The 25,247-nt window shown below is 42.5% G+C and overlaps 2 long non-coding RNA genes across 2 annotated transcripts in view, besides 3 other annotated features; both read right to left on the bottom strand.

Moving 5' to 3' along the window:
- Positions 1-25,247, bottom strand: part of CASC15 (cancer susceptibility 15) — a 529,408-nt gene that overhangs the window by 417,888 nt on the left and 86,273 nt on the right. The window lies entirely within an intron of this gene.
- Positions 3,994-4,716: an enhancer, noted in NCBI's record as "H3K27ac-H3K4me1 hESC enhancer chr6:21773448-21774170 (GRCh37/hg19 assembly coordinates)". NCBI's record gives its function as "activates a minimal SCP1, AML or CMV promoter by ChIP-STARR-seq in naive H9 embryonic stem cells {active_cell/tissue: H9 hESC(naive)}" and the evidence as "EXISTENCE:reporter gene assay evidence [ECO:0000049][PMID:30033119]".
- Positions 6,848-7,347: an enhancer, noted in NCBI's record as "H3K27ac hESC enhancer chr6:21770817-21771316 (GRCh37/hg19 assembly coordinates)". NCBI's record gives its function as "activates a minimal SCP1, AML or CMV promoter by ChIP-STARR-seq in naive H9 embryonic stem cells {active_cell/tissue: H9 hESC(naive)}" and the evidence as "EXISTENCE:reporter gene assay evidence [ECO:0000049][PMID:30033119]".
- Positions 7,871-8,484: an enhancer, noted in NCBI's record as "H3K27ac hESC enhancer chr6:21769680-21770293 (GRCh37/hg19 assembly coordinates)". NCBI's record gives its function as "activates a minimal SCP1, AML or CMV promoter by ChIP-STARR-seq in naive H9 embryonic stem cells {active_cell/tissue: H9 hESC(naive)}" and the evidence as "EXISTENCE:reporter gene assay evidence [ECO:0000049][PMID:30033119]".
- LOC124901274 (uncharacterized) lies at positions 22,294-23,233 on the bottom strand. Its single transcript, XR_007059492.1, has 2 exons — positions 23,117-23,233; positions 22,294-23,005 (listed from the first exon to the last, which is right to left on the bottom strand). It is a non-coding gene; the product is annotated as an uncharacterized LOC124901274 (long non-coding RNA).

Raw genomic sequence — 25,247 nt, 5'->3', positions numbered from 1 at the left:
TCTAAGGTTCAGGAAATGTTGCAAACCTCACAGAGGGAGGGAGGCTCCAAGCTAGGACCTGGAGCATAGAATTTCCCAGAATGTCTTCTTCCTACAGAGCCACATGACGGACAGGGAACAGCGCCAGGACACATTCTATAGCTGTGCGGCTCCATGTTCTAAAATGCCCCTCTCTCTCCATACCTCTTAGAACTTTTAAAGTGACTGAAACGGCTGGGCATGGTGGCTCACACCTGTAATCCCAGCATTTTGAGAGGCAGGGGCAGGGAGATCACCTGAGGTCATGAGTTCGAGACCAGCCTGCCCAATATGGTGAAACCCCATCTCTACTAAAAATACAAAAATTAACCGGGCATGGTGGCGGGCACCTGTAATCCCAGCTACTTGGGAGGCTGAGGCAGGAGAGTCGCTTGAACCTCAAAGGCAGAGGTTGCAGTGAACCAAGACCGCGCCATTGCACTCCAACCTGGGCAACAAGAGAAAAACCCCATCTCAAAAAATAAATAAATACATAAAAAAATAAAGTGACTGAAAACGTGATCTGGGTAATATACCAAACAGCAAATGTAGGCTGTAGGATTGTTGGGACTGGAGATGGCTAGAGATGGACTATGGAAAGCAAGTTCCCAGCAGCTGAAGATAATACATACAAAACAAATCGCCATAGCACTGTGTAAATTACTGTCCTATCCCCAGTAAGATTCCACAGACTTTTCACGATCCTCTATGAGCTTAGAGGGAATACGAAGAGGCCTTCCCGTTGCACAAGATCTATCTAGATGACTGTGATCTATCTAGATGACTGTGACGATGGTTCAAGTGTCCCTTCTTCAGAAGTTGTCCCTGGCCGCCCCCTCTAAAACAGCTCTTGCAGCAACTTCTCTATCTCCATGCTATGCTTTCTTTACAGCATTTATTGTTACCCGACATTAAATTATATCTTTTTTTATTATTATTATTGCCACTGTCTCTTGCCAAAATGCATGCTTCTTTAGGGCCCTGACTCTGTTTTCTTGACTTCTATAATTCCCAGGACCTGGAACTGTATCTGACACAAAATAGGTGGTAAATGATTATCTATTAAGTAAATAATTGATATCCTCTTCCCAGATCAGAACCCTACTAATATAGACCCATTGTTACTAAGTTACTACAGGCAATGGTTTCTCTACCTCTACCCCAATACAACAATATTAGATTTAAAGTAACACTCAAGGCCAGGCACGGTGGCTCACGCCTGTAATCCTAGCACTTTGGGAGGCTGAGGTGGGTGTATCACCTGAGGTCAGGAGTTCGAGACCAGCCTGGCCAACATGGCAAAACCCCGTCTCTACTAAAAATACAAAAAAAATTAGCTGGGCAGCCAGGCGCGGGCTCACTCCTGTAATCCCAGCACTTTGGGAGGTCGAGGCGGGTGGATCATGAGGTCAGGAGTTTGAGACCAGCCTGGCCAACATGGTGAAACCTCGTCTCTACTAAAAATTACCCGGGTGTGGTGGCAGGCGCCTGTAATTTCAGCTACTCAGGAGGCTGAGGCAGGAGAATTGCTTGAACCCGGGAGGTGGAGGTTGCAGTGAGCCAAGATCGCGTCATCGCACTCCAGCCTGGTGACAGAGCGAGACTCTGTCTAAAAAATAATGATAAATTTTTAAAAAATTAAAAATTAAAAAATAAAGTAACACCCAAGCTGAACCTGGCCCCTCTCTGCACTAATACCTGAAATAACTCAGGAACGAAACTAGAGAAGGAAAGTGGTGTTCTGAATAACTATGGTGGAGCAGCAGGGGTACAGTGGCAGTATCCTGGGCAAGCCGGATTGTGAGCCATGTGAACCACAAAGCAAAGCCAGACCTGAGGAGGGACACCATGGACTATGGACACTGAACAAGCTCAGATGCAAAGGGCACAACCCGCTGCTGAGAACAAATGGACCCGGGACCGAGGCCTATGGACATGAGGAAGCTTCAAAGAGTGACAGTTACCACCTGTGGCCCCACTGCCATCCAGAGGGTAGGACGAAGTCAAAATCACCCTGATAAAGATTAGATTGGAGACAGGGATGAAATTCAGGTTGGAGGCCTTCACTTTAGGAGAAGATGTGCATGGGAAGTGTGTGCTGATTAATACACAGAATAAAACCTTCTCACTGAATAGAGCTCTAGGAAGCAAATAAAAAGGAAAAAATGTTTTTACAACAAAGGTAACCAAAAATCACATAATTTTCGCATGAAAAATCTTTTTTAGTCCAGGTACAGTGGCTCATGCCTATAATTCCAGCACTTTGAGAGGCCAAGGTGGGAGGATTGCTAAAGGCCTGGAGTTCAAGACCAGCCTAGGCAACATGGTGAGACCCCATCTTTTTTTTTTTTTTTTTTTTTTTTTTTTTTGAGACAGTCTTACTCTATTGCCTGGGCTGGAGTGCAGTGTCATGATCTCAGATCATTGCAACCACCGCCTCCCAGGTTTAAGGGATTCTCATGCCTCAGCCTCCCAAGTAGCTGGGATTACAGGCATGTGCGACCACACATGGCTAATTTTTATATTTTTTGTAGAGATGGGGATCTGCCCACCTCAGCCTTCCAAAGTGCTGGGATTACAGGCATGAGCCACCGCACCTGGCTGACCCTGTCTCTTTAAAAAAAAAAAAAAAAGAAAGAAAAGAAAAAAAGAAAACTCCTAAAAAAGTATTATCATTTCTTCATACTATAAATCGTCTTTTCTGCAAAAACTAAAATTAGGTTAACTATGAATTTAGCAACATACAGGTTTTTCAATCCTAAATTACTGTAACTTTTCGCAGGCACATTTGTGCAGAGTGGAATTTCAGTTCGGTTGCAAAATACTATTTGAAAGAAATACTTCATTTTCTTTGCCACTTCAAGACTCCCTCAACAATATAACTACTGCATACTGGTTCCATTCTCTATCTTTTCACCCAAACTGAGAAATTTTCTCAACAAAGAGGTCTTAAATAAATACATTTTAAGCAATAATAACACACTGCAATACTTCTTAAGGTTACATTCATCCTACAGACAAGATGTTCTATTTATTTGCTATCCCACTTTCTGTGTAAGAAAATGCAACAGGTATATTTGAAAATGTGTAACCTTTCCCCCTCTGGACATAAGCAAGCCTCAGCTTTACTCATATATGAAAACGCTTTCTTTTTTTGAGATGGAGGCTTGCTATGGTGCCCAGGCTGGACTAAAATTCCCGGGCTCAAGTGATCCTTCTGCCTCTGTCTCCTAAGTAGTTGGGATTATAGGCATGTACTTCCACCTTCCCTAAATGGTCTTCAGCTATGGGAAGGAAACGGGATCTTTATAGCCTAGAAGAGAAACAGGTTTTAAACAAGTAGTTGAGGAAGGAAGAAAGGAAAAGTGGGAGGAAAGGAAGTGGGGAATGAGGGAGAAAGGGAAGGGGAAGGGACTGAAATAAAAGATTAGTCAGAGTAAGCTGGGTGTGGTGGTGCATGCCTGTAATCCCAGCACTTTGGAAGGCAGAGGCGGGTGGATCATGAAGTCAGAAGATCAAGACTATCCTGGCCAACATGTTGAAACCCCATCTCTACTAAAAATACAAAAAAATGGCCGGGTGCGGCGGCTTACGCCGGTAATCCCAGCACTTTGGGAGGCCGAGACAGGTGGATCACGACGTCAGGAGATCGAGACCATCCTGGCTAACACACTGAAACCCCGTCTCTACTAAAAACACACACACAAAAAAAATCAGCCAGGCATGGTGGCGGGAGCCTGTAGTCCCAGCTACTCGGGAGGCTGAGGCAGGAGAATGGCGTGAACCTGGGAGGCGGAGCTTGCAGTGAGCCGAGATCGCACCACTGCACTCCAGCCTGGGCGACAGAGCGAGACTCCATCTCAAAAAAAAAAAAAAAAAAATTAGCTGAGCGTGGTGGCACTTGCCTGTAATCCCAGCTACTCGGCAGGCTGAGGCAGGAGAATCGCTTGAACCAGGGAGTCAGAGGTTGCACTGAGCGAGATGGTGCCATCGCACTGCAGCTTGGTGACAGCGAGACTCCCTCTCAAAAAACAAACAAACAAACAAACAAACAAACAAAAAACACTAGTCAGAGTGGCCGACAGCAAAGTTGAGACAGAATTCCGCCATCATTGCATCATAGAGTGCAAATGACCCTTTGCACTGTAATCAGAGTGAACGTCTCAGACACCTTCAAATCATAAACCAGTTTCCTAGCAGAGGGCCATGACACTACTGAAAGATAATTTGAGCCATTTTTCCTTTTTCTTAAAGAATACAGTAGCATCCCCCAAAATATGTCCTTGACCCCCCCATCTATCCCCTCCCCATGTACAAGCTCTCTTCCTATCTGTCATGGAAAACAAACGCCTGTGCCCTACATGCTATTCCCAGTTTCAATCCTTCATTCATCAACAGCAACAAGGACATTTATGAGGGCTCGTCAACATGTGGCCCTATGCTAGACATTGTACAGACTGAAGTTAACAGACTCAGGCTCGCCTTTGAGGAGCTTCCCAAAGAGATTATTGTTTGGTTTTATAAATTTGACCACCAGAAAAACTCAGGGCCCGTGCCCTATTCACAGCAGGTCTGTGGCTTTGGGTACAAAGAGCAGAGCATTTTATAAGCCCCTATAAATCAAAGTGAGCCTTCGCACACTCAAGCACAGTCTGTCGGTGCAAGCAATAAATGGATTTCTAAACCATGAAACCAACTCTTTTTGAGGAATGTCCTCCTTTCTGCTTTTTCCAATGCATTGGAGTTGTTTTTGCAACCCTGAAATAGCACGGTCTTATTTAGGACACAGACAACCAGAGCTCAATAAATATCTGAACCATGTCTTGCTGACACACATGAAGCAATTATGTCCCAGGATAATTATGCCGTACACATCACTTCATCCAGGAAAATGTCCAGGTGCAAGAAATAGGAAACAAAAAAATAAAAACGAAGCACTATGATTTCTGTCTTTCCAGGGTGGGGGGAAGGGTGTCTTCCTTTCAGTAAATGAATATGTAAAAAGTTAATTTTTCTTCAAAACATGTCTATATCCTCATCTTAAAATACAATAAGCTCTGAATTATTGTAGACCAGAAAATAAAAATATCTGGGGTTTTCTTGTAGGGAAGTTCAAATGGTAGGAGAATATTTGATATTTTCAGTTTTCCTGAAGATCAGAAGGACTTTCAGAATAATGCATTTTTTCCTTCAACAAAGGGCATCTGCAAGGCTTAATCTGCTGAAAAGAATCATTCTGACAGTCTTAATGTATTCTTTTGAGGAAAGCCCTGTTCAGAGAATTCCACAGGAAAAAAAAAATCAGTACCCCAGGAAAGCACCAATCTAAACCATTCTAGCTCCCTGTAAGGAGATGAAACAAAAGTATTTTCAACATATCCTAGATATTAGATTGAGAAGAAAATAGGAGTGATAATCCTTAATATTACATAGTTTTCACATTTCCTCAATGAGCTATTATTAAAACAAATATTTGAAAGATTTCCCAGTCTTTCAAAGAATATCTCCCAGGAAAGCCACTTTCACAATTCTGCTGTAAGACAAAAATATCCCTAAGGTAGGAAGTATTAAATTGCATCAATGTTGAGAACAATAACCCCAATAACAAGAATAATTATAGTATAATATTATTATAATAAGGTACCTTTCATCCAAGACTCAGAATGTTTTGCAAACATTCTCTCATGCTGGGATAATACTGCTAGGGAATTAGAATATAAGGAATTTTAATGACTTGTCTCAGGTCACTGGTCAGCTTGAGTGGTGCACCAAGATGCAGATATCTGATTGTGGTCTGCTGATCTAACAAACTGACCACATCACTTTCAATTAATAATTTGGAGAGTTCTATTTCAGGACAATTTTCAAGGAAACCCATATTAGCTCTTCCATTAAATTCTGATTATGTTCCGTCTCTGTTTCCATTACTCCCCTCTCCACCCACCCATAGCACAGTTAAGAAAGAGTATAATTGGGGAAAGCTCCCAAAGTGATCTCCCTGCATGGAATATATCTCTTTCCCTCTCTCCTAACATTCCTCTGGCACAAGACAGAAAGCAAAGCTTCCTCAGACATTGGTTTTGTGATATCCTTCCCCAGGACTGGAAGCAAGACGGTTCCCCACTGCCTATCAGAATATTTAAAGTTCTTGATCACCAATCTCATGCTCGTGTCATTTCCTCCACACATTCCTGGCACACGAACATTTCCTGTTCTCATTGTTCCCCTGGTGTGTCTGTTCATGCTATAGTTGTCTTTTTCTAAAAAGCCTCCATAATTTCTACTTGCCTGGGATCCCTAAACACGTACTTAGTGCATCCCAGCCACCCTAGCCACATAGCCGGCTGCAAGGACATCCAATTTCTCTTTAACACTTTTAGAAATGAAGAAGGCACTGCTCTGAAAAACAGTGCTCTGTCGAGCATTTTAATCGTGAGAAACCTCTTATTTGAGCTGGATTCTTGTGTGCTCACTTGTACATCTACCCAACAGGCCCCATGCTGCATCTTAAATTGATGTAGAACAAATAAACTTGTTCTGTAACAAAATGTCTTTGCAATGTTTGAAAATAACTATTTTGTTTGTCCTTAATCTTTTCGGCTCTAAGCTCATATGCCAAGGCCCTTCAACTATTCCTCAAGAGACCTGGTTTCTAGACCCTTTGCCTTCCAAAGAAATACCTCTAATTCAGTGCTACTTAACTATTATTCATGTCATGCACCCAGAGTAAATAATACCATTTGTACAGCATATTGGGGAAATAAACAAGGGTTTTAGGCAGGCCGGACCAGATTGAGGACTCTAGGTCTGAGCCCTAGCCTACGGTTGTAGGGATTGATGTTTAGATGTTAAGTCATGCCTGATACCCAAATAGGAAGCTCCATGATAACTTTATTAAAATCTGGCACCCAAAAGTGAACACATTCTGCACAGATCATCTTAAATCCAATTTATTTCAGCAAACTTCCCCCCAAAACTAAAGCCAACACTCATTTTTCCTCTTCCTGACTACAAAGCGCATATCTGCTTGAACTGATGACATTTGATTGTGTGTGTGTGTGTGTGTGTGTGTGTGTATATATATATATATATATATATATATATATATAATTTTTTTTTTTTTTTGAGACAGAGTCTCGCTCTGTCGCCCAGGCTGTAGTGCAGTGGTGTGATCCTGGCTCACTGCAAGCTCCGCCTCCCGGGTTCACGCCATTCTCCTGCTTCAGCCTCCTGAGTAGCTGGGACTACAGGCACCCACCACCACGCCTGGCTAATTTTTTTTTGTATTTTTAGTAGAGACTGGGTTTCACCGTGTTAGCCAGGATGGTCTCGATCTCCTGACCTCCTGATCTGCCCGTCTCGGCCTCCCAAAGTGCTGGGATTATAGGCGTGAGCCACCGCGCCCAGCCCTCGATGATACATATTTTAAGATTTTCTGAAGTAGGTATCTTAATTAATGTGTGTCAGACTCACTTTTCCCAAAAATGACTACAACTTCATTAGGAGCCATGTTTCTTTGCAATTATCATTATGCCTAAAAGAACACAGTGCAGGTTGGGCACATGGTAAAGCCTCACCAAAACATCTGCAGAACTGAATTATGCAGCCTCTCTACAGGAAAGCCATGGCTTAGAGGCCACAGTCTAGTTTAAAAGATATAAACCTCACCTGAAGAGGAAGTTTATTGCTCTGTCTGTTTATTCACACAGAGTCTAAACAATGACACAGACTTTCAGACTGGAAAACTTAGTACAAATAAATGCTTCCAGACAGGTCTGGATTGGGAAGGAGGGCCATGGAATTCCTTCTCCTATCTGGGTTATTGAGCCCAGACAGTCATCACTCAAGTTATAAACACTACTAAATGATGTTGCATAGTTTTATTTAAAGCTATATTTGATTTCAGATTAGACTTTAACATTTAATAAATTTCCCATCAGTATATGGGAAGAGTGGAGACTATTTTGATTTAAGCGTTATTTCAAATATGAAACTCAAGCTGTGTTAGTTAAAAAGGGCTCTAGTTATAATTCAGTCTCACAGTAAGGTCAGGACTCTTGGATTCCCCTAATCCTTCTCCTCTAGGGCTGAAATGCCTGGGAATTCAGTGAATTTACATATTCTTTCCTGACCACAAAGCTGTCACAGGGCCCTAGCCAAACTCTCTCACTCCTCCAGATTCAAGCTGACTTATCTCTGTAACACTCAGCTCAGAATTCAGCTGGGAGAGAGTCTGCTTTAAGGGAGCAACTCTACCACTGAAAAAGCAGTGGCACCCTCCTTTCCAGGAGGTGAGATCTTACTCATTTTCCTCCTCTCCCACATCTCTTGGCGCAAGCCAGTAAATGTGAAGCTCTAATAGATTAATGAAAAGTCGGCACTGATCCCTCTGGACTCCATCCATTTTTAAGTGAGCTATGAGAACTTGGACACATTACAGATCCTGGAAGAATGAAATATGAGGAGAGAAAAGGAAGTTTGACACATGCAGAGAAACTGATCTCTGGGGCTAGGGAGAAGCTAAGAGAGAGGAAATTTTGGGACAGAAGGCATAATACAAACTTAATTCACGGATCATACACTACTGAAGAATAAAGACTGACTTCCCCATTAAAGTTTGAAAGTTGAGCAGCTAATACGAACTTGGGATTTCATGCAAAAACAATCATGCAGCTATTGACAGGCTAAATAAGGAGTTCAGTGCTACCTTAATTCATCTGACATTCACTCTACCTGCCCTGTCTATGCGAGGTAGTTAAAGAGGGAAAAGCAATTTTACATGGAAAATAAAAGATAAGGTTAAAAAAAAATAACAATTCCACTACAAAACAGACTAAGTTTGTCCTTCTTACCTTTATGAATCGCAAGCAGAAAAAAGTGGTAATTCTGGAGTGACCCTAGGACAAGGACAGAGATCACCTGGGGCAAATTTTCGAAGCAGATCTTCAGGGAAAAAATAAATCCCAACTCTAATTCTATCCCTGAAACTGGCATTTCCATGCAAATCTATTCTGTTCATTAAAAGCCAATATTATTCTGAAGTGCCACAAATCCATGAGTTTGGCCAGTACTGAGGAATCTATTAATTTTAATTCTACAGTAATTCCTTTAAAAGTCTGAAAGGTTGGTGGTATAAGGAAGAAAAACTAATTTAACCCACATTTATATAGCAACAAATAACTGGTAAACAAAAATCTCCATTCTAGTGTACATTAATATCCATTTTTTAAAAAATCAAATAAGACCATTTGAAAAAAGGAAAATTATGTTAGATTAACATCTGATTCTGTGCTGGGCACTTAGTAGGTGTTCAATAAATTATGATTGAATAAAAAACCCATTTCTTTAAAACACCAGAACTTACTAAGTAAAAACAGTGTATTAAAGATTACCTTCTCATGGGTAAGGAATGCAGGAAAGAAAAATGAAAATGCTATTACTGCTTAAATCTCCCACAAGAGCATGACCAAAGGAAATGAAAGTCTAAAACAAGTACTAAAAACATTTCATGAGTCACAATATTTATGCTACAACTCTTTCAAATTAACCAATTCTGTAATCATCCCTGAGAAATGAATATGGCTTAGAAAGATAAAAGAACGTTGTTGAGCTCAACCAAAATTATTGTGACACTAAAGTTATTTTGAGACAGTGTGCAGGTAGATGTAACTATTATAAGATAATATTACAAGAAATGTTTTCAACAGGGCTGCACAGTTTTTGAGTGCACACAATTCTGAGATTTTCTCCACTCAGTACCATGACTAGGATAAGCTCTGTCTTCCTGTCTTTCCACAATCTGTTTTTGCTGACTATTGTCTATGGGCACGGTTTATAATTTTTCATTATTTTCTGGAGACTTCCTATTTCACAACCATATCTTGGTGCCAGTATCATTTTACATTTACAAATAAAGTCTATTCTAAATGACTTAGCTACAAATCCGTGGTAATGTCTCAGTTTAGGTAAGCAGTTTTTAGCTTTCTCAAGATCCTCTACTTAAGATACATTAAATTTTTATTTTCTCATGGACCCATTTTAATTTTTTTTTAAAGAACTGAGAGTCATCTGTATAAGGCTGCACTGTCCTGTCCAATGCTGCCCAACAAAATGAAGCCAAGTGGACTTAAGATAAAATTATCAAACTTCACCTGAAATTTTTAAACAAAAACAACTCTTTCCCATTAAAATAATTCAGGTCAGAGTAATTCTGTATCTCTCTGGAAGGTTTTATTTCTTTGATTATAAAAGTGCCTCACTTTCATAAACTACTAATTAGATAATACACTTTTCATATTTGTCAGTGCTTAGATTTGATTTCCCAATCAATTCATTTTGTTTTGACATTTCTCATTCATTTCAACTTTGAGACTGAAAATATACATTATTCTTGTTGCATGAAAAACTATTTTCAGATTACTTTTACATAATGATGTTTACATAGACTTGAACAGACAAATTTGAAATTTTTGATCCACATAGGTTGAATTTTTAAAATTTAGTATAAACATATATGTGTGTGTGTGTATATATATTTGTTTGTTTGTTTTTATGAGACAGAGTCTTGCTCTGTTGCCCAGGCTGGAGTGCAGTGGCACGATCTTGGCTCACTGCAACCTCCACCTCCTAGTTTCAGGTGATTCTCCTGCCTCAGACTCCCAAGCAGCTGGGATTACAGACGTGCACCACCACGCCTGGCTAATTTTTTGTATTTTTAGTACAGACGGGGTTTCATCATGTTGGCCAGGCTGGTCTCAAACTCCTGACCTCAGGTGATTCACCCGCCTCCGCCTCCGAAAGTGCTGGGATTACAGGCATGAGCCACCATGCCTGGCCTACAAATTAGTATAAATATATTACGGCAGACCAAAACACCAAAGTCTTCTATCAAATGGCAGAAGAAGGCAAGGACTGAATATTCCCTGAAAACAGGACCACATCGTACACCCAACCTTACAGAAGAATGGCTCCCTTCTGCTCACAATAAAACAGCAAGAGCAGAAGATGCCCTAGTGAGCAGGCTTCCTCAGCTCTCCAGGACACCCAAGCACACGCAAGGTGCTCCGAGATGCCGGGTAGGGAGGCAGGTGGCCCCTCTGTGAATACAGAGAGTGGCTACTGAGCAAAAGCTCTGCAATGATTGAATAGGCTCAGAGTTGAAGGGCAATGGAACAATCAAAGACAGGTTCCTCCTTAAGGAGAATATCCAGCCCAAGCTGCAGTAGACTTAAGTGTTGCCCATAGAATTCCTTGTCTTATCGCTGTTTGTAGTCCTGTTATTTGTCCTTTAGGGGTGATTTTAGCTTCAGATTTTCTATTTGAAAAATGTTGGCTGGATGCGGTGGCTCAAGCCTGTAATCCCAGCACTTTGGGAGGCCGAGGCAGGCAGATCACGCGGTCAAGAGATTGAGACCATCCTGGCTAACATGGTGAAACCCCGTCTCTACTAAAAATACAAAAAATTAGCTGGGCGTGGTCGCGCATGCCAGTAGTCCCAGCTACTTGGGAGACCGAGGCAGGAAGATCGCTCGAACCTGGGAGGCAGAGGTTGCAGTGAGCTGAGATGGTGCCACTGCACTCCAGCCTGGAGACAGAGCGAGACTCCATCTCAAAAAACAAACACAAAACAAAAGAGAAAAAAAGAAAGAAAAATGTTACATGTCATATCAAATTTGTACACACAAGACCCCTTAAAGGATGGTGGAATTCTTTAAATAAATAAATCGAATACTAAATGCCTTATCTAGCTTCAATTCAATTATGAGAACTGATCAGTTTTGCTGCATTTTTAAAACAGAAACTCTCAGCTTGGGCAACATAGCGAGAATTGATCTCTACAAATTTTTTTTTTTAGAAATTGGCCAGGCTTGGTGGCTCTCACCTGTAATCCCAACACTTTGGGAGGCTGAGACGGGAGAATCACTTGAGCCCAGGAGTTCAAAGTTACAGTGAGTTATGATCGTGCCACTGCACTCCAGCCTGAGCAACAGAGCAAGAGCTTGTCTCTAATAAAGTTATTAATAATTAATTTAAATAAAAGGAAACTCCTTGAAGATATGATGACATATCAATTCTGGTTTCATCAAATATGAATGCTGCCATTCATAACAACAACAAAGATTGAGATGTTTTGGCTTGGAAGGATGATTATAGCGTATGGACATGTGGAGGGGGAAAAGGCAAGTGACAGAATACTCTAAAGCACAGTATACTATGATCCCATTTTGTTAAAGTAAACAAATACATGTGTTTATGAATGTAAGAAGGGAGGAATGAAAAGACACACAACTGTCTGTTGCCAGTGATGTCACAGAGAAGTGACATGGCACAAATCATACAAACCCCATTATCTGCCAAATAAAATCCAAGCTAGCTAACAGAAGGTAACTAATTAATAATGGTTGCATTTGTTTATGTAATGCTTTACTTTCACAATTGAACCCTACACCCAGGGATATTTATTCACTACCATATTCGCTATACCTTTTCCTCCCTGAAGGTATAGCCACCCATACATAGACAACTATGATGCCTTACTGGTAAATAGGCATATAACTCTTATGGGATGAATGAATGAATGATGAATGAGTAGTAAATGTTTTAATCAACTGCTTCATAAATTGAATAACTGGTTCTGGTGTGAACAACGTAAAGTTTTGGATCTGGTCAGTAGCAGGAGAAAAAAATTACTGCAAATTGCATTGCAAGCTTTCAAAAACAAGCTTAACCTGCTTAGCAGGTGTGACAGTCCCCTTCTTGACAACTGACAAAAGAATCTTCCCCATTTTTGACTTACTCTACTGATTAAAATGACAAAAATAGATGTTTCTTTTTTCTTTTTTTCCCCTTTTCTGGCCCTGTGACACTATAATTCTTGGGCAACTTTCCCATACGAACTAATTTTCAAAACTCATGAGAAGAACTTATTCACTAGCATACTCACAAAAGAACCAACAAGAATTTAGTCATACTTCTTTCTAGGAATTTTAAATGGTCCTGGCCCCCTAGAAATCCAAAATTCACAGTTTTACGTCATTTCTTTCTTTTTTTAGGGGAAGGGACAGGATCTGGCTCTGTTGCCCAGGCTGGAGTGCAGTGGCATCATCTCAGCTCACTGTAACCTCTGCCTCCTGGGATCAAGCAATCCTCTCAGCTGTTTGAGAACTCCCAAACAGCTGGGACCACAGGTGTGTACCACCACACCCAACAAAATTTTTTTTTTTTTTGGACAGACGGGGTTTCACCACGTTACCCAGGCTGGGATTACAGGCATGAGCCACCACACCTGGCCTCTTACGTCATTTCTATTGCGGGTCCCTAAAGTAATTTTGAAGAGAAAAAGAAAATCTCTGGGGCGGGGTTACAAGGGAAATGGACAACCTTTATTTCTCCTGTCATCTATCAGATTTGCATGTCTAACATGACAAATTGTCACTAAAGTAGAAAAAGTGTTTCTTTTCAATAAAGGTGTTGGCTAGAACAAATAAAATATTTACAGGATCTTAAAAATGCATATTATTGTTGTGCGAGGTGGCTAATGCCTGTAATCCCAACACTTTGGGAGGCTGAGGTAGGCAGATCACCTGAGGTCAGGAGTACAAGACCAGCCTGGCCAACATGGTAAAACCCCATCTCCACTAAATGTACAAAAATTAGCCGGCGTGATGGTGGGCACCTGTAATCCCAGCTACTCTGGAGGCTGAGGCAGGAGAATCATTTAAACCAGGAAGGTGGAGGCTGCTGCGAGCCAAGATGGTGCCACTGCACTCCAGCCTGGGCGACAGAGTGAGCCTCCGTCTCAAAAAAAAAAAAAAAAAAATTCCTGTTATTCCTATTTTTGCTCTTACTAGGCAACAATTTTTAGACACTTATTCATCATTATCAGAACAATAACCACCCATCTGAAAAGCTAATATATAATCTTTTGCCAATATTTAGTGAATAAATTATGCTGGATCATTTTACACTATACCAACATCATTGATCATTCCTTCTTTACTTCTTTCTCTAATTAAACACACACACACACACATATATATATAAAATAATTTTACTTCAAAAAAAAAAACCTTGGGCCAGGTGCAGTGGCTCACAACTGTAATCCCAGCACTTTGGGAAGCTAAGGTGGGCGGATCACTTGAGCTCAGGAGTTCAAGACCAGCCTGGCCAACATGGGGAAACACTGTCTCTACTAAAACTACAAAAATTAGGCCGGGCAAGATGGCTCATGCCCGAATCCCAGCAGTTTGGGAGGCCGAAGTGGGCAGATCATCTGAGGTCAGGAGTTCGAGACCAGCCTGGCCAACGTGGCAAAACCCCGTCTCCACTAAAAATACAAAAATCAGCCAGGCATGGTGGCATGCACCTATAGTCCCAGCTACTTGGGAGACTGAGGCATGAGAATCTCTTGAACCACCCCGGGAGGCAGAGTTTAGTGAGCCGAGATCCTGCCATTGCACTCCAGCCTGGTCAACAGAGTGAGACTCCAACTTAAAAAAAAAAAAAAAGCCAGTCGTGGTGGCACCTGCAGTCCAAGCAGGTGGGAGACTGAAGCACGAGAATTGCTTGAATCTGGGAGGCGGAGGTTGCAGTGAGCCCAGATCATGCCACTGCACTCCAGCCTGGGTGACAGAGTGGGACTCTATCTTGAAAAAAAAAAGAAGAAAAAGAATCTTACTTCTAATGTCTGCCTACCTTCTGTGAAGTATTTTATTTAAAACAAGTCTTTTCTTATACGAAACTGCAGCATTCTGCCAGAATTCAGTTTTAATGCTACCTCGCTTCTAGCTATTGATTCCTACCCATCATTCCAGGATGAACCTAAGTTATACCTTACTCCCTGAAAGTGCCTCCTCACCCTGAGTACCCCTTTTGAGAAATTCCTGTCGAATTAACTGTTACTGTTATTATTCTGGCCCTGAATCCTAAACTTTTATTCTTAACTCTACAAGTATCCAAGAGTTGTCTCCCCATTCGAATCCGGGTTCCATAGTTTCTGAATGAAGCAATTATGACTTGCTTTTTTCCTTTCTCTCCTTACCACACATACCAGGCATTCAGCCAAAACATCATGAATGAATGAATGAATGAATGAATGAATGAATGAAAAAAAATAAATGAGGGCACACCATACCATTTGAAAATGAGATCTGGCCCAGGCTGGAGTGCAATGGCGCTATTTCGGCTCACTGCAAGCTCCGCCTCCCGGGTTCACGCCATTCTCCTGCCTCAGCCTCCACAGTAGCTGGGACTACCGTCGCCCCCCACCAAGCCCGGCTAATTTTTTGTATTTTTAGTAGAGACGAGGTTTCACCATGTCAGCCAGGATGGTCTCCATCTCCTAACCTCGTGATCCACCCACCTCTGCCTCCAAAAGTGCTGGGATTACAGGCGTGAGCCACCGAGCTCGGCCAAATCTTTTTAAATAAATGTTTTCACTCCCCAAAAAGTTAACTATGTGAGGTAATATGTCCGGAATTGGTGGGTTCTTGGTCTCACTGACTTCAAGAACGAAGCCGCGGACCCTCGCGGTAAGCTTCACAGTTCTTAAAGGCAGCATGTCCGGAGTTTGCTCCTTCTGACGTTCGGGTGTGTTCGGAATTTCTTCCTCCTGGTGGGGTTCGTGGTCTCACTGGCTCAGGAGTGAAACTGTGGACCTTCACGGTAAGTGTTACAGTTCTTAAGGCGGCGCATCTGGAGTTGTTCGTTCCTCCCGGTGGGTTCGTGTTCTCACTGGCTCAGGAGTGAAGCTGCCGACCTTTGCAGTAAGTGTTACAGCCCATAAAAGCAGTGTAGACCAAAAGAGTGAGCAGTAGCAAGATTTATTGCAAAGAGCTAAAGAACAAAGCTTCCACATTGTGGAGCTAAAGAACAAAGCCTCCACATTGTGGAACGGGACCCGAGAAGATTGCCACTACTGGCTCGGGCAGCCTGCTTTTATTCTCTTATCTGGCCCCACCCACATCCTGCTGATTGGTCCATTTTACAGAGAGCCGAGTGGTCTGTTTTCACAGGGTGCTGATTGGTGCGTTTACAATCCCTGAGCTAGACACAAAGGTTCTCCACGACCCCACTAGATTAGCTAGATACAGAGAATGGACACAAAGGTTCTCCAAGTCCCCACCAGAGTAGCTAGATATAGAGTGTGGATTGGTGCATTCACAAACCCTGAGCTAGACACAGGGTGCTGATTGGTGTGTTTACAAACTTTGAGCTAGATGCGGAGTGCCGATTGGTATATTTACAATCCCCTAGCTAGACATAAAGGTTCTCCAAGTCCTCACCAGTCAGGAGCCCAGCTGGCTTCACCCAGTGGATCCCGCACCGGGCCACAGGTGGAGCTGCCTGCCAGTCCCAGTGCCGTGGGCCCGCACTCCTCAGCCCTTGGGTGGTCGATGGGACTGGGCGCCGTGGAGCCGGGAGCAGCGTTCGTCGGGGAGGCTCGGGCGGCACAGGAGCCCACGGGGAGTGGGGGGATAGGCTCAGTCATAGCGGGCTGCATGTCCCGAGCCCTGCCCCACGGGGAGGCAGCTAAGGCCCGGTGAGAAATCAAGCACAGCGCTGGTGGGCTGGCACTGCTGGGGGACCCAGCACACCCTCCACAGCCGCTGGCCCGGGTGCTAAGTCCCTCATTGCCCGGGGCCCCAGGGCCGGTCAGGCGCTCCAAGTGCAGGGCCCGCCGAGCCCACACCCACCTGGAACTCGCGCTGGCCCGCAAGCACCGCACGCAGCTCCAGTTCCTGCCCGCGCCTCTCCCTCCACACCTCCCCGCGAGCTGAGAGGGCCGGCTCTGGCCTCAGCCAGGCCAGGAAAGGGCTCCCACAGTGCAGCGGCGGGCTGAAGGGCTCCTCAAGTGCCGCCAAAGTGGGAGCCCAGGCAGAGGAGGCGCCGAGAGCTAGCGAGGGCTGTGAGGGCCGCCAGCACGCTGTCACCTCTCAGTAATGTACATGTTAATTAGCTTGATTTTCCTTGGCTAGAGTCACAGAGGAAAAAAAAAGTAAAAATTAAATTTTAAAAAATTTAATAAAAAAAGTGAGGTCAACAATTGCATTCTGGGACATACAGCAGGAAGGATAAAGATATGATATAAATATGAGTGTGGCAAGAGATGTTGTCACTGAGATAGACATGTTCCTATCATGAATATGTGTGTATAATATAAAAATAAGGATTAATTTAGCTCCACGCAACCTCCTTTTAAGTAGGCTCCTTTAGATCCCCAAACTGAAACTCCTAAAAGCTACATGTGATTTTTCTTTGTGCATTTGCTATAAGGTCGCAAATCACCCCCACCTGAACATCAGAGTTTTCTAAAAAAGCAAAACCAAAACAACTCCGTACTAGTGCAGTTTGCATGCCTTACTATCATAGTGACAAATGTATACGCATTTTTGTCAAAGATGTAATATTTGATAAACTGATAACAGAAGCTTTCATGCACATAAAGATAATAAACTTCGCATGTGCTTATAAAGTTACTTGTATATTGAGATGTATTTCCAGTCACTGGAGGTGTATTCACATTTTCTCAATCTAAATTGTTGTGTTGTGTTCAGCAGGTAGTGTGTGGCAGTGTGGCAAGGCTAAAGCCACAGTTTCCTATCTAGTCCACGATCCCAAGCTATGCCCAGCATATGAGACTTGTTTTCTTAATCCTGAAAGTGTGGAGTTGTTTACAAAGACACCCAGCTCATCAACTTGCTGATTCTTGTTTTAGCAGGGACTAGACTTTTTCTTCTGGAGTTGAAAACCAAGGTACAAAACAATCAAGGTTTTCCAAAACCTTGATTTTGGAAATTATAGTGTTTGTGCCAAAAGAGAAAATTTTGACTAGAGTAAAATATTTTAAAGTACCTACATTTTTAGAGTTCTCTAAAAGTAATTTTTAAAAAGATTATTTGCTAAATTAGTCTATTATCTGATTCTGCATAACTCAACCATAGTTGATGATGTCAAAAACTAGAAGTACCGGGCGTGGTGGCTCATACCTGTAATCCCAGCTCTTTGCGAGGCCGAGACAGAAGGATCCTTTGACCCCAGGAGCTCAAGACCAGCCTAGGCAACATAGCAAGATCCTGTCTTTACTAGATATCAAAAAAATTAGCTGGGTATGGGGGTGTGTGCCTGTAGTCCCAGCTACTCAGGAGACGGAGGCAGGAAGATTGCTTGAACCAGGGAATTTGAGGCTGCAGTGAGCTATGAGCGCACCATTGCATCCAGCCTGGGCAACAGAGTAATAAGACCCTGTCTAAAAAAAAAAAAGTTAGCAGGGAAGTGGTTTAAAACCACCTCTGTTCTTAATTATGTTTAAAATAAATTTTAGCATGAGGACTTAGTGTGCTCTCAGAGCTATGGTCTAAGAACCTCTAATTCCTAATTGACAGAATAGCTTATAATTGTATTTTCATAGCGTTTGGTAAAAACAGTCAGCTTGTTTATTTTTAAAAAGGCTCATAGGCCGGGTGCAGTGGCTCACACCAGTAATCCCGGCACTTTCAGAGGCCGAGGCAAGCGGATCACCTGAGGTTGGGAGTTCGAGACCAGCATGACCAACATGGAGAAACCCTGTCTCTACTAAAAATACAAAATTAGCCGGGCGTGGTGGCGCATGCCTGTAACCCCAGCTACTCAGGAGGCTGAGACAGGAGAATCTCTTTAACACGGGAGGCGGAGGTTGCAGTGAGCCAAGATCGCGGCATTGCACTCTGGCCTGGCCGTCTCAAAAAAAAAAAAAAAAAAAAAAAAAAAAGACGCATTAATATAAAACTTACGATTAAAGAAATCAACTGATATCTATTTGGAACACATTTTTTCTCTCTGAAAAAATCACTCACCCTCACATATGGATACCAAAATGGTGATTTTTTTAAAGCACTGATGCATTTGAAAATTTCTCCAAAAGAAAGAAACTGTCTTTGTGGTAACATATTCCTTCTTAGATAAATGTGTCATAGCTATATCACTGGGTATACTAGATTCCATAGCTCTTCAGTTTAAAAAAAAAAAAAAGGTGTCTTATACACTCTATATTGTACAAAATCTAAAACTTGCATAACACAAATGGAAGCCATCTTGAAAAGTAAAATAAATAAATTACTATTGCAGAGAAAAAAGAATTACAGAACACAGTTATGCTGAAAACAATAGCTATGGGCAGAAAAAGTGACAAGACATATAGCAGCTCATTAAAAATTCAGAGGATATTGAAAAAGGCAAATTTAATTTGCCCACCTTCACCAAATAACGCTGAAGGACACCTGACAAATCCAACACATAAACCGTGTACTATGAAATTCAAACATTTACAAGTTCTATCATCCTCAGTCCTTGCTTCTTACCAGAAGGAAAGGGTGGAATGAAATCCATTTACTAAAAGCTTACCTCGACAGGAATGAAAAGGAATATAGGACCAGGCATGGTGGCTCACGCCTGTAATCCCAGCACTTTGGGAGGCCGAGGTGGGCGGATCACGAGGTCAGGAGATTGAGACCATCCTGGCTAACACGGTGAAACCCCGTCTCTCCTAAAAAAAAAATACAAAAAAATTAGCCGGGCGTGGTGGTGGGCGCCTGTAGTCCCAGCTACCTGGGAGACTGAGGCAGTGGAATGGCGTGAACCCGGGAGGAGCTTGCCGTGAGCCGAGATTGCGCCACTACACTCCAGCCTGGGCGACAGAATGAGACTCCGTCTTAAAAAAAAAAAAAAAAAAAAAAAATAGAATTGCCGGGCGCGGTGGCTCACGCCTGTAATCCCAGCACTTTGGGAGGCCGAGGTGGGCGGATCACGAGGTCAGGAGATCGAGACCATCTTGGCTAACAAGGTGAAACCCTATCTCTACTAAAAAAAAAAAAACAAAAAAACAAAAAAATTAGCCGGGCATGGTGGCGGGCGCCTGTAGTCCCAGCTACGCAGGAGGCTGAGGCAGGATAATAGCGTGAACCCGGGAGGCGGAGCTTGCAGTGAGCCAAGACTGTGCCACTGCACTCCAGCCTGGGCAACAGAGTGAGACTCCGTCTCAAAAAAAAAAAAAAAGAAAAGAATTATCAAGGACCAGGACGGGCACAGTGGCTCATGCCTGTAATTCCGGCACTTTGGGAGGCCGAGGTGAGTGGATCACCTGAGGTCAGGAGTTCGAGACCAGCCTGGTCAACAGGGTGAAACCCTGTCTCTACTAAAAATACAAAAAAATTAGCCGGGTGCGGTGGCATGCGCCTGTAATCCCAGCTACTCGGGAGGCTGACGCAGGAGAATCACCTGGGAGGCGGAGGTTGCAGTGAGCCGAGATTGCGCCATTGCACTCCAGCCTGGGTGACGACCCTTTGTTTCCTGATAGACATAGCTAATCATCAACTAAGAAAACTCAGACCTGGAGCATTTAAGTAACTTTTATTCCTGTACACATTGCCTCTTCCTGCTTCCCTACCCCTCAGCACCCCCACCACACCAATACAATACAATGCAGACTCTCTCTCATGATATCACCCATTCATACTCCATCCTCATTCACAATGGTCACAGAAGGAAGGAAAGGTTACAGCACCAGAAGCCGAAAGCTTGGTGTCACTCAGCACATATAGGGGCTACTGTGTCTAGGACACCAAAAAAGAGCAAAGAAGTAAAAAGCAACACCTCCACTTAGGAAGTGTGGCAGGGAAAATGAAAAAAATGCCGCAACATTTACGGAGAAATATAGCAAGAATCACTCACTGAGCACAAATCCTTACCCCCACTCCAGCCGACAAGGCCCTAGTGACCAGGCCTGTACTTGCCTCCAAAGCTCTCCATTTCTGGCAGCCACAGTGGTCTCTTTGGGTTTCCTCACACCAAACTCATTCTGTCTTGGAGCCTTTGCCCTGCCTGTACTCACTCCCACCTCAAATGCCCTTCCCCCTGATCTTCACAGGACAGGCTCCTCCTTGTAATCCAGATCTCAGTTTAGATGAAACCTCTTCAGAGACACCTCAGCTGACCTCCCAATCTGTAGCACCCGCCCCAGGCACCTTCCCATTGCCCTATTTGAATTCTGTGTATTGCAATATCTCATATTTTTCTCATTATGTTTTATTATTGACATTAATAGAGTCAAACCTTACTGTTTACAGATTCTGTATTTGCAAATTCACCTAACTTGCAGAAATTTACGTGTAACCCCAAAATCAATATGCATGGTGCTTTCCTGCTTTCTCAAACATGCACAGAGCAGTGAAAGTTCTAAGTTGCCCAACACACATTCCCAGCTGACGCTGAACAAGGTGACACGCTGCCTTCTTGTTTCAGCTTCAATCATGTAAACAAGTGTCATTTTTAATGCCATGTTCTTTGCATTTTTATGCTTTTTGTTGGTGATTTCACTGTTTGCAATGCCCCCCAGATGGAGGGCTGAAATGCTATTAATATCTAGTGTTACTAAGCGCAAGAAGTCTGTGATGTACCTTGCAGAGAAAAGGCACGTGTTTGCTAAGCTTCACTTAGGCATGAGTTGTAGCACTATTAGCCATGAGTTTAATGTTAATGAACCAATAATATACATTAAATTACACATATATTAAATATATGTATCAAATCTAAATGTAAATATATTTTAAAATACAAATAAAACATATTAAATAAAATACATGCTAAATAAAACACATAAAATAAGCATATGTGTTCATTGATGAAAATCTTGCAGCCAGAGGCTCTCAGGAACCTAACCCTGTATTTTCCCTAGGAGCAATGGTTCAGTATTTGCTAATTCAGTGTTCACAGCAACTTTACAGAACATTAACTCTCTCAGATCATGAGACTCAGTGTATTTATTTTTATTTTTATTTATTTATTTTTTGAGACGGAGTCTCACCCTGTCGCCCAGGCTGGAGTTCAGTGGCACGATCTCAGTTCACTGCAACCTCTGCCTCCCGGGTTCAAGAGATTCTCCTGCCCCAGCCTTCCGAGTAGCTGGGATTACAGGTGCGTGCCACCACACCTGGCTAATTTTTGTATTTTTAGTAGAGATGGGGTTTCACCATGTTGGCCAGGCTGGTCTCGAACTGCTGACCTCGTGATCAGCCGGCTTCGGCCTCCCAAAGTGCTGGGAATACAGGCATGAGCCACCGTGCCCGGCTCAGCGTATTCATTTTGGGAGTTCTCCACAGAAAGACATTTTACTGAATTTGTCTATTTTGCTTCCGCTAAACCGGACCACAGCTGATGGTGATGAAAGTAACAGAGAAATAGTTAAAAGCTTGATTGTTGTCCTTAATTCAGTTTCAAATAAATTTCTGCATGCAGACGAAGTGGGTTTACACAGCTATGGCATAATTTATTATTCCCTGAGAGCAAGGACTACGCCTGTCTTGCACAGAGATATGGCTCACCAATGCCTACAAACAACGTCTAGCACCAAGTGGGTTCCCACTAAAAATCTCATATATGAATGAAATACTCCATGCCAAACGAAATCCTATTTCTTATACTTATTTCCCCTGAAAAACAATATACCAAGTCTAAGGTACTAAATTCTTCCTTCCATTTAGCTTGGGTGGATACAAAATTTGAGGCAATGACATTATAAAGACAAGGTCAAGGAGTTCAAAAACAGAGATCTGGGTTTGAATTCTCTGAACTGCTACACGTGTGAGCTTGGAGACTACACTTTCCCTCTCAGAATCTCACTTTTTTTGTCTAAAAATTAGGGATAATACCACCTCCAGCAGATGATTGTGATACATCAATGTGATAATGTATATACAATTTCTAATACCTTGCTTCACACCTAACAGGCACTGAATAAAGACCATTCCTTCAAGCCTACGTGGAATCATGAGTCACACAGAGTAGCATCGCCAGAGGGAACAGAAAGTCCTCACTTGATACGGCAGAAACAGGAACAGGGTTAGGTAGTCTCCGGCAGGCTGGTCAGTTTTGATCTTTACAACTTGGTTGATGATCACCTCAGCCCTACCTTCAAAAGCGATTCCTGTCCACAGGGGTTGGTAACTGCCTTCCCCTTTACACAAAAAACAAGAAAAAAAATGGTGAAAATCCACAGCCTCCTTTGTCTTTATTTGCATTTGCTTTTGTTTAATTGTAGCAAAATATACATAACATAAAAATTTACCATTTTGGCCGGGTGTGGTGGCTCATGTCTGTAATCCCAGCACTTTGGGAGGCCTGGCGGATCACAAGGTCAGGAGTTCACGACTAGCCTGACAAACATAGTGAAACCCTGTCAATACTAAAAATACAAGAATTAGCTAGACGTAGTGGAACACACCTGTAATCCCAGCTACTTAGGAGGCTGAGGTAGAAGAATCACTTGAACCCGGGAGGCAGAGGTTGCAGTGATCCAAGATTACGCCACTGTACTCCAGCCTGGGCAACAGAGTGAGACTCCAAGACTTCGAGATTCTGTCTCCAAAAAAAAAAAAAAAAAACCATTTTAACCATTTTTTTAAAGTATCTTCTTTCTTAAACGCAGTCTCTGACAGGGGCTGCATAAAGATATGCATGAGATTTGGCCTTGAGAATATTGTAAGATTGCATATAATGCTCCTAAGCTTAGATGTATGACCCCCAACCAATTTTCCACTACTTTCTACTGAATGCCTCACTTGAGCAACAGACATTCTCCTAAAACTTCGTCTGCCATTCTCATTCTTGAAACTTTACTATTACATTTTGTGGGTGAATCTCTATTTTACATAATCTACCAAAATTTCCTAGCTGGCATGATGAAACGAGTTTTTAAAATTTCTTCCTGCCTATATATTTTTCTGTGGTGAGGAAGTTGGATGATGTCTAACACCCATTTGAGGTCTCACATATTATAATTCTGTTATTAAAATCACAGGAATGATTATACACCACACTATCTACACACAGGGTAAAATGTTGCTTCAGTTAGCACAGACCAAAAATGGCATGCTTACAGTATCACACATTCCCAAACAAAGCATATCAAGCTTTGTATAACTGCCACTGAAATAGCTGCAAGAAAAACAAACACCATTTCAGTGACCTCACACAACCTCATTCTATAAACATTACAAAAACTCCTTTTACACTGATCTGTTTAAGGCAGCAAGACTTAAGGGTTGACTGATAAAGCTTTCGTGTGAGTTCAATTAGTTTTTTAAAAAACCAAGTGAGTTTTGCAGAACTTATTGGCAGATTAACGTAGGAGAGCTGAGCAGCAAGCTTGCCTTCGTCAGAGGAATGAAGCGAGCTGTGGCTTTGGGTCTCTCGCATGGGACTTCTGACCTGAGAAGAATGCGATCATAGGCCCAGTGAGCTACCACAGATGTTCCCCTATCGCCTTGATATCGCCTCGACTCATCACTTGTCTCACTTAGTCCTCAAAGGTAGGTATCATGTTCAAGTATTTCAGACTTTCTAACATATTTGTCCACTTCTGTGGCATTTCAAGAACCACCTTATTAGCAAACAAAGCCACCCACTGAATGTGTTCAGAATTACAAACGCACGCTCCTATGCTTTTCCTACATGAGTGATATCCAAACACATTCCATCAGAAACACTTTATTCCAGTTATCTACTACACAGCTGGCAATTCCAATATAGGAAGGAATCCTCTCCTTGTCCACAGGACAAAACACTGCTAACATGTAAATGTACTGGAGTTCTGCTTCTGTGTATGAAGTATTAAATGCAACAGGAGGAGGAGGAGTGTGTGGGAGAAAGAAAAGAGAAAAGAAATAATAAAATAGGCTAAGCATGGTGGCTCACACCTGTAATCCCAGCACTTCTCAAAAAGAAAGGAAATAATAAAATAATGGATTTCAAACCCAACCATCTGGATAATTGCATTAAATGCAAATGATCCAAACATTACAGTTAAAAGGACTGCTAAAAAACTTACAAGTAGCATCACATTTAATTGTGAAAGACTAAGTGCTGTGCCGGGCGTGGTGGCTCACGCCTGTAATCCCAACACTTTGGGAGGCAGAGGCGGGTGGATCACCTGAGGTCAGGAGTTCAAGACCACCCTGACTAACATGGTGAAACCCCATCTCTACTAAAAATACAAAAATTAGCTGGGCATAGTGGCAGGCACCTATAATCCCAGCTACTCAGGAGGCTGAGGCAGGAGAATCACTTGAACCCAGGAGGCGGAGGTTGCAGTGAGCCGAGATCGCACCATTGCACTCCAGCCTAGGTGACAGAGAGGGACTCCGTCTCAAAAAAAAAAAAACTAAGTGCTTTGACTTCATGTTTGTTCATTAAAAATG

This window comes from Homo sapiens, chromosome 6 (genome assembly GCF_000001405.40).
Source record: "Homo sapiens chromosome 6, GRCh38.p14 Primary Assembly".
Taxonomy (NCBI): domain Eukaryota; kingdom Metazoa; phylum Chordata; class Mammalia; order Primates; family Hominidae; genus Homo; species Homo sapiens.
This window is presented reverse-complemented; position numbering and strand designations above follow the sequence as displayed.